Source organism: Homo sapiens, chromosome 6, assembly GCF_000001405.40.
Source record: "Homo sapiens chromosome 6, GRCh38.p14 Primary Assembly".
Classification (NCBI taxonomy): domain Eukaryota; kingdom Metazoa; phylum Chordata; class Mammalia; order Primates; family Hominidae; genus Homo; species Homo sapiens.
In genome coordinates, this window is record NC_000006.12 from 110,236,368 (window position 1) to 110,253,804 (window position 17,437).

Here is a 17,437-nt window from a genome sequence, read left to right on the forward strand (position 1 = left end):
AGAATGATTTATATTTCTTTGGGTATATACCCAGTAATGGGATTGCTAAGTTGAATGGTATTTCTGCCTCTAGGTCTTTGAGGAATTGCCACACTGTCTTCCACAGTGGTTGAACTAATTTACACTCTCACCAACAGTGTAAAAGTGTTGCTTTTTCTCCACAGCCGTGCCAGCATCTGTTGTTTTTTGACTTATTAATAATAGCCATTCTGACTGGTGTGAGATGGTATCTCATTGTGGTTTTGATTTCCATTTCTCTAATGATCAGTGATGTTGAGCTTTTTTTCATGTTTGTTGGCCACATGTATATCTTCTTTTGAGAAGTGTCTGTTCATGTCCTTTGCCCACTTTTTAATGTTTTTTTCTTGTAAATTTGTTTAAGTTCCTTATAGATGCTGGATATTAGACCTTTGTCAGATGCATAGATTGCAAAAATTTCTCCCTTTCTGTAGATTATCTGTTCACTCTGATGATAGTTTCTTTTGCTGCGCAGAGCTCTTTAGTTTAATTGGATCCCATTTGTCAATTTTTGCTTTTATTGCAATTGCTTTTGGGATCTTCGTCATGAAATCTTTGCCCGTGCCTATGTCCTGAATGATATTTCCTAGGTTTTCTTATAGGGTGTTTATAGTTTTAGGTAGAACCAGTTTTTATCTTAATTTCTCAGCTTATGGTTTTCCTCATCATGTGATTAGGATAAATTCAACTATTCAACTCCTTGCACAGGCCTGAGGTTTCAATTTCTCTTGAAAACTTTTCTTTGTACTCAGAGCTATAAGCAGAGATAAGCGTCCTTGTGCTGGTGGATGTAGAATTTTTAGGTCCATTTTTCACTGAGGTTGTAGCCCTCTCCCTCTTTGCTGTAGGTGTCCTTAGTCCCAATCCTTTCTCCCCAGTACCAGGTCTTATCTTGTGCTTTAGGCCTCTATCCATTACTATCTCTATCCATTACTCTATCCTTGGAGTTAGTGTAACTAAACTCCAAGGGCTACTACAGTGTAGGTTCCTGTCTACCTGTCTGGCTCTAGGCTCCCTCCCTCTGGGCTTTTGTATCTGGAAAATGTTTTCTTCTTCGACATTCAGTCATACACACACACACACATACACACACATACTTATATACCATATACACACGTATGTACTCGCATATATACAAACACATATATACACATACATGTATATATATGGAAGGATCTCTAGGGATCTATGTATGATTGTATTTTGTATCTTTAGATGTCACCATGTTATTGGAAAAATCTAAAAACAGGAATGTAATCTAGTGCAGTCTAAAAAACGTACATTCTGATTTTTAGAACCATGTGAGTTTAAGTGTGTGATACTAAAAGGTACTTTCCTAAGGGTACTTCATCTTGATGACCAGAGAACCATCATAATGGATTCACCTTTCATCTGGGCTTTTTCTGCATAAGCACATCATTTGGATTCTTTTGAATTTATCAGAAGACTTCCCTTTATAGCACTTGTCTTAATCCATTCAGGCTGCTGTAACAAGATACCTTAGACTAGGTAATTTATAAACAACAGAAATGTATTGCTCACAGTTCTGGTGGCTGAGAAGTCCAAGATCAAGGTGCCAGCAGATTCAATGTCTGATGAGGGCTAGCTCTCTTCTTCAAAGATGGTGCCTTTTCACTGTGTCCTCACATTGTAAAAGGGGGAAAAACTTTCCTCAGGCCTTTCATAAATGCACTAATCCCATTCACAAGGGCTCTGCCCTCATGACCTAGTTACTTTCTAAAGGCTCCACCTCATAATACCAACATGTTGGGAATATTTCAACATATGAATTTTGGAGGGTCACAAAATATTCAGACCATAGCAGCATACAAATTAAGAAATTATCTTACCATTGTCTAAGCCTCATCTAATCACAGTAGTCAAAATAATGAAATTTTCAAGCTAGAAGAAACTTTAGAAATTAAATATTCTAACCTAAGGAAATACTTCAAGAAAGGTGAAGACTTGCTTGATATAACACAGCTAGTTAGCAGCAGTATCAAGAGTCTCTTATTTCTTCCTACTGTCCTGCCTCTATATAATGTCACTTAATTGTATATTTTTAAAACTGTTGGATTTGTGTTATAACCTTTGTGGCTTCTAGGCTTGCTGTCTCTGAGCTAGGTAATTTAAAAGAAACAGCTATTTACATAGTGTTTATTTCATCCTTAGTAAAACAAAACCTGTAACTGAGGACATTCTCATGGCTCCTTCCATTAGAGTTGTGCTCCCATCACTTTCTCTTTGCCCAAAAGGAAATCTCTGGCTCATATTTCAGTCTCTACAGTACCTCTTCTCACCTTGATTTTACTCTTTCAACTATTGTTTTTATTATGCACTTTCTACTCCATGTCCTATAAAAACTATGGTTTAAATCATTTTTGTAAAAATACTAACCCCTATCTTTGGTAGAAATAGTCTCACATCATCCTTCCTTCCTTCTCTCATTAACTGAAAAATGTCTCCATGATACTATGAATTGTGGTTCCATATACTGACTCTAAAAAAGACTGCGGGGAGTTGCTACAAAGAAAGGACAATGAGAAAGATTGAGGTTTAATATCCTAGGACTCAGATATCTTCTAATAATAATTGAACCTTCAATTATTATTGTATTCATTCAATTCAACTATTTTATGGTTCTCAGTTCTCCAAGGCCAAGAAGATTTCCAGGTTGGCATCCTTTAATCAGGAATAGGGACTACCACATGCAGTGCAATGAACAGCCATGTCGAGAAAAGAACAAATTGTGTCCAAATTTAAATAACAAAATGAGATACAGTGGTCCATCTAAATTCCAAAGGTATTTTTAATGCCAGAAAAAACTTCAGTAACAAATGATGAAATAATTTTTTAGAAAAATTATATGGAAATAGCTTTTTAAATTTATATTCAACAAAAATTTATTGAGCCCTTTTTACTTAGCCACTGGGGCTGTAGACATGGCCCTTATCCTCATGGAGCATACAGTCTGCTGGGAAAACCAGACATTATACAAGCAGAGAAAGTACAGACACTGTTAGGAAGAATAGAGGACATTGTGGGGACATATAGCTGGGAGCCTTAAATAAGAGGGGTCCCTGAGAAAATGATGTTTGATCTGACATCAAACCTTGAGAAATAATATTTTCTTGTACTGATAATTTTTATTGACACATAGTTGCAGTTTCTCATGTTATAGAACACACTTGGACCTTTATTTATTATATAGATCCACCCAGGAGTGATATTCAAAATATCCAATGACAAGTAAGGCAGAAGATAGGCCAGTTAGAATAGAAGCAAGCCACAGTGCTGTGTCAGGATCCTGGAAGCTGCCTTTTGTGCTGTGCATTAGCCTTTAATTGCCCAGTCATGGGGAAAGGCCTGGGCATCCTGTGAGAGGGTCTCCAGTGCAGAGGGACCACTGGGGAACCACTGTATCTCTACTGGTACTTTTCAAAAAAGCATAAATATGTCCAGTGTATTCCAAGGGACATACTTTTTAGTTGACAAACAAATTGTATATATTTATGGCACACAACATGATATTTTGTTATATGTATACATTGTGGAATACTAAATCAACTAATTAACACATCCATTACCTCAAATACTTATTTTTTGTGGTGAGAATATTTAAAATCTACTCTCTCAGCAATTTTCCAGTATATGATACATTGCTATTAACTATAATCACCATGTTGCACATAGCTCTTCTCTACTGGTACATACTGATTAGATATCAGTCCTATGCACACTTGGTTTCTCTATTGAAATTCTCTAGTCTAGTCTTGAATAGTTTAGTCAAATTCGATCTCCCAAGTTTAAATCCCTTATTATTTCAGATAGCCATATTGTACAAAACTAATCACTAAGAAAAAGTTAAAATAGTCTGAGAAAATAAGTTGCTGGTTTTAAGAAAGCATTAAATTTTAATGTGTTGGAAACCATTTTTCCACACGGTTCTTTTTTTTTTTTGAGATGGAGTCCTGTGGTGCCCAGGCTGATCTCAAACTCCTGGACTCCAGTGATCCTCCCATGTAGCTGGAAGTACAGGCACATGGCACTGCACCCAGCCTCCATATAGTTATAAAGTGTGACAGCATTAAGAATGCTTGATTTATATTTCTTAAGAAATATAATCAAGTCATTTAAAGAATTTCAATAATCTCTAAATGTAAGCAGTTCTAAGAATATATTGAATCTTTGGGTTATGATTTTATCTCATAAGTTCAGGCACCTCTTTCAATGTAAGAAAAAGTAAGACATTTTAGCATAAGGTTAAATGTATTATTGAATCCACAAAGTATCAGCAATTGGCTAGTACAAAATGAATTATGTTACTGCTTAAGAATCAAACATAAATTTATCTCCACCAGAAAAGAACAATTACACTAATTGAGCTTGGAGGTACTGTTGTATTGTTAAGTAGAATGATCTATTTAAATGAGGTCTTTTGTTTTTGTTTTTTTTTTTTTGAGACGGAGTCTCGCTCTGTCGCCCAGGCTAGAGTGCAGTGGCGTGATCTTGGCTCACTGCAAGCTCCGCCTCCCAGATTGACGCCATTTTCCTGCCTTAGCCTCCCAAGTAGCCATCATGCCCGGCTAATTTTTTTGTATTTTTAGTAGAGATAGGGTTTCACTGTGTTACCCAGGATGGTCTCGATCTCCTGACCTCATGATCCGCCCACCTCGGCCTCCCAAAGTGCTGGGATTACAGGCGTGAGCCACCACGCCCGGCCAATGAAGTCATCATTTTTACACTAGCAAAATATGGTAAGCCTGGCTTCCTGGGACTAACCCAAGCTTTGCAAAATCTAAACATTTAATGCTTAAAAAATGCAATTCTTATACTTACTAAAAGATCTTATAACTAAGGCAGAAATGCTTACATGAATAACTGATTTGGACTAAACACTGTAAACCCGTGAGTTTGTTTATGCCCTATCCTGAGGTAAATTTGGACCTTCAGTCAATTCTAGTAGAAATTTGTTCACTTCTCCCTGGTTCTTCATTTGAACATGTCAAATAGTTACAAATATTTATATGATAACCTTTTATATTATAGCTGCATCAAATACAAGCACTGTAAGAAAAGAAGGGGAAAATTGTTTTTCTTTAACAAATTATGATACAGAGTTTATGCTAAAAGGCAACTTGTGAATCTCTTTCATCCTCATATGCCTTACACCTACAAAAGAGCATTGTTACTCATTTGATAAAAGCATTATCAAATGTGTATTTTCAGAATCATTTATGAACACTGCTCTAGTAAAAATGTTAAGAGATGCATGTCACAGATATTCACATCTTAGCTCATTTATCTGCAAGTCAAAGACTAGTTTTAAGCAAAGGAGAATTACTTTGCTTAAGCAACTCCAAGTGACTGCCATTTCTAAAACCCAGGAGGGAAGTGACAAGTACTGGGACAAGCCAGAAGAAGAGTCATTTCCAGGCCTGCAAGAGCTTTTCTGGCAACCTAAATATATTGACAGAGAAGTTGTTGGGTCTCCATATTTCTTCAGTAAGCTTCCATTTGGCAGGCATACTTTAATCAAGTAGATGATTTAAGTCCAGCAAACCTGCATGCTACAAAATAATTCTGACTCAAACTTGCAGGCCTTTTCTATTTGTAGTTTCCCCCTACTCCCGTTTTACTAATAGGGAGGCAAAAATGAGTCCTTTGGACAAAGCATCTTACGTTTGGTACAGGCTTTGGAAGCTGCATTGTGGATGGGACCAAACACCAGCTTTTTGGGATCTGACAGACCAAAATGTAAATGACTGTTCCTCCATCTACAACTTGAGTAATCTGAATAAGCCATTTAACCTCTCAGAGTTTCCTTTTCTTTTTTTTTTGAGATGGAGTCTCTCTCTGTCGCCCAGACTGGAGTGCAGTGGCGCAATCTTGGCTTACTGCAACCTCCACCTCCCAGATTCAAGCAATTCTCCTGCCTCAGCCACCCGAGTAGCTGGGACTGCAGGCACATGCCACCACGCCCACTAATTTTTTGTATTTTTAGTAAAGACAGGGTTTCAACGTGTTAGCCAGGATGGTCTCGATCTCCCGACCTCGTGATCTGCCCGCCTCGGCCTCCCAAAGTGCTGGGATTACAGGCATGAGCCACTGCGCCCGGCCTCTCTCAGAATTTCTTTACTCATGATGTTGGAAAAAAATAAACTTCCTTGTTGTGAGAATTAGGAATAAGCTATGCACATGGTCCGGCAGACAGTTAGCTCTCAGTAAAGAGTAACTCTTGGTTTTGTTTGTTTGTTATGTGTTGTTTGTGTTGCTCTTGTGGTGGTTGTGGTGGTGATGATTATGGTTTTGCCCGTTCCTCATAAGAGGATCTTGTGTTTGCCTGTTCACAAGTAAACAGTGCTATAGTAGCCTGGTCCTCTTCTCATGGCCTGCACCAGTAGTTCTCCACAGTGGGTGATCTTGCCCCCTCGGGGACATATCCTACAATGCACAGAACAGCCCTCCCCCGGTAAAGAATTATCCAGCCCAAATGGCAATAGTGCTGAGGTTAAGAAATTTATTATGTTTATTTATGATAAACATAATAAACTCTAGAGGCAGGAAAACCTTAACAACCATCAGTATATTCATCACAAATTTGAAACTATACATGAAGAGAATGAAGGACCATTTTAGAAATAAGCATAAAATAAGTATGGATAACTATTAAACAGGCTGCCTGGTCAATCAGCGTGGCTGGATGTGTTCATGATATATTCTTTTTTAACAGTACATTCATTCATGCTTCAGGTACATATAGCATGATGAAGTCAATGCTCAACACCACCAACCTGAAATAAATAGTTAACTTGCCGTAGACAAAGGGGCTTTCAGTAATACCCTAAATCTCCAATTCCACGAATTAAAAATCTTAATATGGGTGTGCTACATATCTAAAAGCTGATCAGACTGGACATTTAAGATGAATACACTTTCTACACTTTAATGTATAAAAATGTTTATATATTTCAGTATATAAACATTTTATGAAAATAAATCTGTTATATAATCCAAACAGAACTGGGCTAAAGTTAGCTTTGCTTTGGAGATGACACCATATAACTAACAGTATAAACCAATTTAGAGTGTGTGTGGACCCTTCTGCACATTTGAAATACCTCTGTACATTGAAATGACTAAACTGCCTTTTCAGATCACACTTACTCAAGCCAGTCCTCTCAGCTCAACAACTTTTATTAGTGGACTATGAGTTTTAAAATAAAAAGCTCATGTGTATATATTTTTTAATTATCACAACTAACTCAGAAAGTCCTGTTCTCTTTTCAACTCAAGCTAGTGAGGTCATCCAAGTCTAAGACGATTTGATTTCTCACTTGAGGAATGGCATTTTCAAACCACTTCAAGAAACAAAGAGCTAACCTGGGGAATGTCTGAGGGTAGAAGGAAGTACAAATTGGGAAAAGGGGTAAAGTCTAGTAATAATCGGCATTCTACTCTCTCCCCCCAGTTTTTGAGCAATGTACATACAGTTTTATACTCAGGATATAAAAATGCCAAAAAATATATTTAATTGACAATAAAGTAATAATGTGGTTTTTATGCTATTTATTTGAAATAGAATTTTAGAAAATTATGCACGTGTTTAATCCTGTAAATAGTAATGAGAGAGAGCATTTGAACCGCTGAGAACCTAAACTTTCCACTTAACTTTTAATGTAGAAAGGATCGGTGCTATTGAAAAACTGTCTAACTATCCTACGAAAGTGAGACGATGGTCTTCAGGCCACAATCATGTAAGTGATGCCAACTGGGAGTAAAGAAAAATGCACTTAACATTATTAGAGATAATGTATTTTTTTAAAAAAGATTTGACAGCATAGGCAAGTCTGTGGGTGGTAAATCATGTTTGAAGGCAGAAGAGGCAACAGCAAAGATACCCAGATTCTGCTCTGTGCTTAGTTTAATAGGAAGTGAAGGGGAATTAAGGCTGAGTATAAAAAGCATCTTGAGTTGAAGCTCTTTTTTTTTTCTGTGAACAAATAAACTTTATTCAGGTATAAAAAGCAAGTGCTTTTTCAAATACGTAAAATCTAAAAAGTGTAATACCCAAAGTATTAGTCCATTCTCACACTGCTATGAAGATATACCTGAGACTGAGTAATTTATAGAGGAAAGAGATTTAATTGACTCACAGTTTAGCATGGCTGGCGAGGCCTCAGGAAACTTACAGTCGTGGTGGAAGGGGAAGCAAACACATCCTTCTTCATATGGCAGCAGGAAGGAGAAAAATGAGAGCCAAGTGAAGGGGGACACCTCTTATAAAACCATCAGATCTCATGAGAACTTACTCAGTATCATGAGAATAGCATGGAGGAAACCAACCCCATGATTCAATTACCTCTCACCAGGTCCCTCCCACAACACGTGGGGATTATGGGAACTACAATTCAAGATGAGATTTGGTTGGGGACGTAGCCAAACCATATTACTCATGGACTTATAATGAAGTAATCATTAAAGGCCTTACTTCAGTGAGGAGAGCACAGACCGAAGGAGCCAGATGGAAACCAGAATATGTGAGTCAAGAAAATGGTGAAACATGCCAGTAGGAAAATCTATCTTATCTATCTATCTATCTATCTATCTATCTATCATCTATCTATTTATCTACCTACCTACCTACAATGGTTAATTTTATGTGTCAACTTAACTGGACTAAAGGGTGTCCAGATCTTTAGTTAAACATTATTCTAGGTGTATCTGTAAGGATATTTCCAGATGAAATTAATATTTAAATCAGTAGACTAAATAAATCAGATTCTTCACCTCAGTGTAAGTGGACCTCATTCAACCAGTTGAAGGCCTGAATAGAACCTAAGGCAGTAAGGAAGAATTAATTCTCTGTCTGGCTGTCTTCAAGCTGGGACATGGGTCTTGGTGAGGTCAAGACCTTCAGACTTGGTCTCGAACTGGAACTTACACCTTCGTGTTGAAGCTCTTGATAGTCTAGTCTCTTTAACTCAGTGACAGAATTTGGTGCATCCGAGTTCCCAGAAATCAGAAGTATTGCTGCTTAGAAAGCCACAGCATGGCCTCAGCAAAGGCTGAGAAGGAATGACTGAAATCTACAAGGTTGTAAAGAATATCATTAACAAGGTAAATAAGAAAAACCTTGAAAAAGGAGGGTCAAATTCAAATTTAAAACCCTATTTTAAACAGTAGGGGAAGAACTTAAAAATCTCACCAACCTAGTAAAAATAGGAAATTTATATAATTTCATTTCAATGTTGGTGAATTCATAGATTATAGATACATAGAGAATTTTAGGGAAAACTGTGATGAGCTGGGGATAATCTTCCAAGTTAAGGTGAAGGAAGAGTCTGGGCAAATAGGGGTGACTGTGTTTATCCCTTTAACAAGTATTGACTGTGCCCCATCACATGCCAAGCACTAGGCTGCATGCCCGCAATAACACACTCCCTGCCTCAAGCAGGGCACAGGCTAGCAGGAGACTGGATGAGTAAACTCATGATTAGAATTATGGACATGCTGCATTCTGCAAATATTTTCTTGTGCTCTTGATGACATCCTGCATCCTATTTCCATCTTGTATTCACCCAACTCAGAGTATAACAGCTACTTGCATTGAAAATGTCTTTCTTCAAGAATAGCTGAGGTTTAGATAAGTCTTTGTAACTGTGAAAAAGCCTGAAATCCTTTTGTTCTAACTCTTTGAGAAGGCTGTACCAGAACCGCACAACGCTGCTGTCACTGCCACTGACCTCAAACCCAGGCCAGTGGAGATGGATCTCAAAGATGAGCTGTCCAATCTGCTCAAGAACATCTTCCAGAATAAGATTTTCCAAAACTTTCCATTCTGCACTTTCCAGATCTGCCTTGAGAACGTCAATCTGTAACAAAGCAATGAAATGAGATTAGCAGATTTAGTAAAACTATCTTGATATCAGGAGTTTCACATTATAGCTACCTCTGAAGGAAACAGAATTTTTAAAATTTTAGAGCTGAGGGTGGTTTTCAAGTGGCCATTTGCATTTATGACATGAATTTCTAACCCCATTCCCTACTAAATGTTTTGGTTTTTTGTTCTTGTTTTTAAGAGATGGGGGTCTCGATATGTTGCCTAGGCTGGTATAAAACTCCTGGTTCAAGCAATCCTCCTGCCTCCGCCTCCTGAGTAGCTGGGACTACAGGCGTGAGCCTGTTATGTTAATATATGTTAATATACAAATGATGAAATACCAGGCAAAAATCACAACAGACCCTCTTGCTTTCTGCCCAGTGGGAATGGATATCTGAGAAGGAGAAGTTAGAGTGAGTGTATCACAGACCTCTGTGTACCCCACAAACTATGCCACCCCAGGAAACTCTGCCAAGTCCTGACAGAAGGTGTCTATAGAAAGGAAGTGACAAAGGGCTACTGCCTGCAGGGACTATCTTGCAGGCCTCATCCCCCCAACCCCAACTTCATCGAGACTGGACATCAATGAAAAAGTTATTGAGTATCTGAATATTGGACTATAAAAAAATAATATTATTATTCTATGATTTCTTTACAATGTATATACCAGTATAGCATTCTTAAAAAAAAAAAAAGCAGTAACACCATCCTCTGCTTATTTAATGAACACAAGTTCACATTCAAGTGAGACAGAATAAAGGAAGAAGAGGATTGTAATATCAATATTTTGCAAATTAATCAAGTTATGAGAATCAGCTCCTTTTCGCTGCCTGTGCAAAAAATCCGTTAGAACACCAGAACCCTAAACACAATGAAAGCTCATTTTTACCAAGTAGTTATATGTGCCTGACACCATGCTAAGGGCTTCCCCTTGCAATATCCATTTAATCCTCTCAATAATGCTGTAAGGGTGATTCTGTGAGTATCCCTAATTAAAGTTCAGGAAACCAGACTCAGTGAGGAACCCATTCCCAGTCACATGGCTAGAGAGGCAGTGATGAACTCTGAACAGAGTCTGTCTACAGAGCCTGTGTTCTTAACCCTTACCTAACATTGCCTCTTCCAATACACCCAAGAGGAAAAATGGGTAACTCAGAGTCTCAAAGAGGTTTGGAGTTTGGAAAATAAGGTGCTATCTGGAGAGCGAATATGGGTCAGTGAGTAAAGTATTATTATCAATATTGCCACTTTACATTTGCAGAGCACTTTTCAAGGGGGATAATTCTACCACATGGAGGAAAGCTGACAGCATTCAGACATAAACTGGAATAACGAGGCTGGAGGAAATCATTGCAAAAGAGCAAAGGCTGTAGCCCCAAGAGGGGACAGCAGAACCTTAAGCAGCCCTTCAGGAAGCTGCTGACTGAAGTCATGAATATCCTGCCCCATGAAAGTGAAAATACCTTTGCTTGTTTAGAAAAACAGATAAACAACAAGACGTATGCTACCCATTCTTTCCTTTCTCATTGCATGTCTGTTTGATAAGTTTCTCATATGAGGCTCAAACGTGAGGCTCCTTGTGCCACATCCAAACTATTCTGACGTAGTTTGGATGTTTGTCCCCTCCAAATATCATTTTGAAATATGATACTCAATGTTGGAAGTGGGGTCTGGTGAGAGGTGTTTGGGTCATAGGGGTGGATCCCTCATGAATGGTTTGGTGCTGTCCTCGAGATAGTGAGTGAGCTCTAGCTCTGAGTTCACGTAAGATCTGGCTGTTTAGAAAGAGTGTGGCACCTCTACCCCCCTCTCTCTTGTTCCCTCTCTTGCCATCTGATAGGCTGGCACCTCTTCGCCTTCCACCATGTTTGTAAGCTCCCTGAGGCCTCACCAGGAGCAGATACCGGCACCATGCTTCCTGTACAGCCTGCAGAACCATAAGCCAAGTAAGCCTCTTTGCTTTATAAATTACTCAGCCTTAGATATTTCTTTATAGCAACACAAGAACAGCCTAACACACATTCCTTGGGTGATTTCAGAGTTGAATGCAAGAGAAGGTACACAGAATTTACATATAACAGCTACAAGAAAATGGGCTCTGTCCTGATGCCTGAGACTCTGTAGGACATGGTTTCACATTCTTGCCTTGGATTGTACCTCCTGGTCCACCAAGGAAAAAGTGATGGTAATACCCGAAGAATACTGAGTGCCTTAGGAAAGCCTGGGTGTCTGTAAACCAGTTTGTCCGTTCAATAGTTCCAAACTCAAAGAGAAAAAGTTAAAACAAAACAAAACCTTTCTTCATGAGAGGAACTGAGCAAAGACAGGTTGCATGTGAATACACACCAGGCTAAAATAATTCTTGTGAATCAGACACAGTGAAATTTAGCCAGGTGCAGTGGCTCATGCCTGTAATCCCAGCAGGTGGATCACTTGAGCCCAGGAGTTCAAGACAACCTTGGACAATATAGTGAGACCTCATCTCTACAAAAAAAAATAAAAATAAAAATAAAACATTATTAATAAAGAAATTAATTCACTCATTTTTCCATCTCTCCTGCCCTGGCATGTCCATGGGTTTGTTTAATCTTGGCAAATTTTAAACAGAATACTCCTGAATTAAGGGGAATTAAGCTGCCAAAGGAAATATTTAATCAAAACTTTGTAAAATTTTCTAATTGGTACAGAAAGTATCCAAAACCCAAAACCAGCATTTGTTCTATCAATTCACATAGCCAAGAATGTCTTAGGTTCCTTACAGATTCATGTTCACCATGGTTTTCTGTGAGTTTGCTTATGTTGAATGTGAGGAATACATCGAAGTATTAAAAAGACAGAGTAAAGTTCATCACCTTTAAATTAACCTAAAAACTCTATTAGTGATGTATAAGGAATATATTTTGTATATTTATTCCAAACGTCTTAAAAATAAACTATCAATCAGAAGTTATGAGCAAATCAAAGGGAACCAAATTATTAGGCTAAATCATAGTAAACATAGGCTTTCTTTGAAAATCCAATTTTCATTTATAAAATGCTAATCTATTCTAAAGAGCAAAAAGTATTTTCAAACACAACAACACTCCCACCCTCTTTTGATTCCAGTGACTGAAAATCCCCCACTTCAATCAGAATTGTATAAGTTGATCTAAATCATGCAGCCCAGGGGGAGCACAGAAGCTCTTCTCTGCCTTCTGACCTGAGAGTGCAGGCAGCCAAAAGGCTGTGAATAAAACATGCTCTGCTCTTCCAGTGTGCTTTTTCTGTTTCTCACATTTTAAAACGTCCCATTACTGCAATGATTTTGCAAATGTGATTTCCATTATTACTCCATAATGCATCCAATATTATTGTTATTATAAAGCACTAAACATTGCTGAATAGGATATGCCACTTTTAAGATTCTAATATCAGCTTTCAACAATTATGCCACTAAAAATCATACAAATTATTAGATGGGAATAATCAAGTGCCGATCCTAATACAGTTAGGATAAATCAGGTTTGTGGAGAAAAACAACTTAAGGTTAACTCCCAGAAAACTCTGGAATAAGCGAAGACATTCTTGGGTAGAAAGGTCTCAAAGAAAGAAGGTGAAACAACTTAATTGGTATGATTTCCAGTGTATTAAAGGGGTCCTCCTATCAAAAATTATCTCCTTTTCCTTGTACCTGAAATATCCAATCAATTGACTTTCACAAACCTTTTGAAGAAATGAGAATTTTCATTTTTAACTGGATTAAGACCTGATGCCATCTGGCAGCTTCCTCATCATAGGCACAAGTTTATCCCTGTGATCATCCACCCAGAACTGCAGAGATTCGAGGAAAGGGGAGGAAGAGGCATGGGTGCTTGTATCCATTTCCAAGGGCTGCCGTAACAAAAGACCATGGATTGGGAGGTTTAAATAACAGAATTGTGTTGTCTCACAGTTGTGAAGACTAGAATTCCAAGATCAAGTGTCCCTCTGAGAGCCATGAGAGAGAATGTGTCCTGTGCTGCTTGCCTGGCTTCCCGTGGCTTGCTAGCAATCTTCAACATTCCTTGGCTCCTGCATCACCTGATCTCTGCCTTCATCTTCACATGGTGTTCTCTCTGTGTGTCCAAATTTCCTCTTTTTATAAGGACATCAGTCAGATTGGAATAGGGACCACCTTCCTCCAGTATGACCTCATTTTAACGAATTACATCTAGAACCACACTATTTCCAAATAAGGTCACATTCTGAGGTATGAAGGTTTAGAATTTCAACATATTAATTTGGGGGAGACACAATTCAACCCATAACAGTGTTTGGGGTAGCTTTTGCAATAGGGCTTTTGCAATGTGTTTAGGAGCCAATTCCCAGGGCCAATAGTTAGGAAAAGCGCCCTACTCCAGAGATCCAAGGGCCAGCAACCATCTTAGACAATTACGGTTATCACTCTGACTAATGGATAAGTCCTTACATCAGCCAACACTGACTGCTCTGACCTCGCCAAGTGCCAAACCCAAGGCAGGTCAACAAGTTTCCAAAGCCAGTTGAAACCACCATCGTGAAACCCCTCTACTTCATGCCTTGGTTCCTTCTCAGCCACATGATCAGGCCCAGTAGGGGCACTTTGTCTTTGGCCCCCTCCCATTCCCTATATGGGAACTCATTCAGACTACTCAATATCCTCACATCTACAGTTTCTAATCTGAGCCTTTTCCCCTTTAAGAGGGCTCTCAAGCAAAACACGTAGATTCTACGACATGCCTGCTGGCCTGCAGAGGGCAAAAATGCAACACCTTTTAAGTAAAGCCTAGCTCTGGGAGTCACAAACGTCACTTCCACTGCATTCCATTGGTCAAGCAAATTGCAAGTCTAGCGCGCATTCAAGGGGAGGTGAAATAGACTCCAGCCCTTGAGAGGAGGAGTGGCATACACAGAAAGGGGAAGAGAAGTTATTCATGGCTAAATTTGCAAACAATTGACCCTAGTAATTAAAAGCAATATTACTTTATCTAAATCCATAAATCAACTACAGTAGTACAGTGGACTGGAACTTTTACTGGACACAAATAATACTCCAGAAAAAATGAATAATAAAGCCTTTATTCATCAGAATGTTTTTAAAGATGGAATATTAATAAAACATGGCATCTGTTATTAGATTTGGTTTTACTTGACAGTTGACATAGAACCTGGGATATTCAATGGATTAAGATGACTAATAAAGAAAATAATAAATAGGACAAGTAAAGTAAATATTTGTAAGTCTTAGTTAGATATTGTATTAGTCTGCTAGGTCTGTGTCTTAGTGTGTTTGCACCACCATAACAAAATACATTAGACTAAGTAATTTATAAAGAACAAAAATGTATATCATACAGTTCTGAAGGCTGGGAAGTCCAAGTTCAAGGTTGGCAGGTTTGGTGACTGGTGAGAACCTGTTCTTCAGAGATAGCATCACCTAAGTATCCTCACATGGCAGAAAGGATGGAAGGGGAGTAAACGGGCAAACTCCTTCCATCAAGCCCTTTTATAAGGGCACCTAATCCCATTCATGCAGGTAGAGCCCTCCTGACTCAAACACATCCTAAAGGCCACACCCCTTCATACTGCTTCATTGGGCCAGGTGCAGTAGCTCACGCCTGTAATCCCTGCACTTTGGGAGGCCAAGGCAGGTGGATCACTTGAGGCCAGGATTTCGAGACCAGCCTAGCCAACATGGCGAAATCCCTTCTCTACTGAAACTACAAAAATTAGCCGGGTGAGGTGGTACACTCCTGTAATCCCAGCTACTCAGGAGGCTGAGCCAGAAGAATTGCTTGGACCTGGGGGGCAGAGGTTGCAGTGAGCTGAGATGGCGCCATGATACTCCAGCCTGGGAGATAGAGCAAAACTCTTCCTTAAAAAACAAAACAAAAAAAACCTGCTGCATTGGGATTCAGTTTCAGCATGAATTTTGGAGGAGACAAAAACATTTAAACCAAAGCAGATCGGGTGGTTTAAACAACAAATTTATTTTCTCCACCTTTGGAGGCTAGAAACCCAAGATCAACGTGTCAGCAGGTTTGGTTTCTCCTAAGTCCTCCCGACTTGGCTTGCAGATGGCTGCCTTGTCCCTGTGGCCTTTCTGCATGCATTCCTGGTGTCTCCACTTTTTCTTACAAGGACACTAGTCTTGTTGGATTAGGGTCCCACCCTTATGACCTCATTTAACCTTAATCACCTCCTTAAAGGCCCTATCTCTAAATACAGTCACACTGGGAGTTAGGGCTTCAATCTATGAATTTCTTCAACCCATAACAAATCTAAAACAGGTATTTTTGCTATGCTCTATTTAGAGGCAACCACTATCTCCATAAGCATTTTTACAATACATCCTTTTACTATTATGGCAGCCTGTAGTGTCTCCTCTATAGTTAATGGCTAACTCTGGTTTTAGCTAGTAAAAGTGTGAGCCATCAAATTAATTGGAGGTGAGTCACAGAGACTGTAGTAGGTATTATTTTCCAAAGATGTAACACCATTATCTCCCATCTAACATGATTTTCTGCATGTGGCCTTGACACCCCCACCACTGAGACATGGGATCAACCTATGTGGTCACACAGGGCCCCAAGCCTAGAAAGGCTTCATGCTTGATTTAACACTCTGCTGTCACTGTCTTAAAATTCTTCACTAGTTTTGAACAAGAGACCCCTCATTTTTATTTTGCACTAGGCCCCACAAATTATGTAGCCCATCCTCCAGAATTGTGATGAGCTGTGAATGACTGATTGACTAACACAGTCTGGTAGAAGTGATTCTAAGTGGCGTTCAAGCGTAGGCCGTAAAGGGTGATGCAGCTTCTACTTTGCTCAAGAGTATATTCATTCCTGAAAACTTTGGCCCTCAGGAAAGGTGTCTGACTGCCCCGAGGCGGTACTGCTATGAGAAAATCCAAACTAGCCTTTGCAGAGAGACCAATAAAGAGGTCCTGAGTCAATAGGAATAGAGAGAGAGAGATGTCTGGCCAACCCCAGCTGCTGCAAGCCTTCAACTGGCTTCAACTGCATGAGAGACCCTGAGCCAGAAGCACCCAGCAAAGCCCTTCCCAAAACTCTGCCCCACATAAACTACGAGAGAGCATCAAAGGATCAATTGTTGGGTTAAAAAGCTAAGCTTGGGGGCTAATTCATTATGCAGCAATAGATAACTAGAACAGAGACTAAGTGCTATTCATGAAAATCTTTTTTTAAAAAGGTAAAAGTTACTTGTATTGTGTCAAGTACTATATATTCTAAAGCTGTGAGTTCTAGAAATTAATATGCATTTAACCAAAAAATATTTTCTTATAAAAGCAATACATGGTCATTATTTAAAAATTAAAATCATAGATAAACAAAAAAAGAAGTAAAATACCTATAATCCAGAATTTTAAAACAGTTTACTTCTGAACTCCCAAACATTTTTCTTTGCTGTAAACACACACGTACACATGCACACACAAACACACAAGACAAATTCTAACACACGAGCATAACTGAAACACACATTTTCTACAAAATTGAAATTATCCTATGTTTT

At 38.8% G+C, this 17,437-nt stretch overlaps 1 protein-coding gene and 1 long non-coding RNA gene across 4 annotated transcripts in view; one reads left to right on the plus strand and one right to left on the minus strand.

Annotated features, from left to right (window-relative positions):
• Positions 1 to 7,572: 7,572 nt before the first annotated feature.
• The window catches only part of METTL24 (methyltransferase like 24), a 114,410-nt gene continuing 104,545 nt past the window's right edge, over positions 7,573 to 17,437 (minus strand). For all 3 annotated transcript variants that reach the window (NM_001354594.2, NM_001123364.3, NM_001354595.2), the window contains one exon: positions 7,573 to 9,893. In NM_001354594.2, the coding sequence (NP_001341523.1) occupies positions 9,579 to 9,893 (315 nt within the window). In that variant the 3' untranslated portion in view covers positions 7,573 to 9,578. The remainder of the gene's footprint in view (positions 9,894 to 17,437) is intronic.
• On the plus strand, positions 7,703 to 11,408 carry LOC105377937 (uncharacterized). Its single transcript, XR_942858.3, has 2 exons — positions 7,703 to 7,775; positions 11,163 to 11,408. It is a non-coding gene; the product is annotated as an uncharacterized LOC105377937 (long non-coding RNA).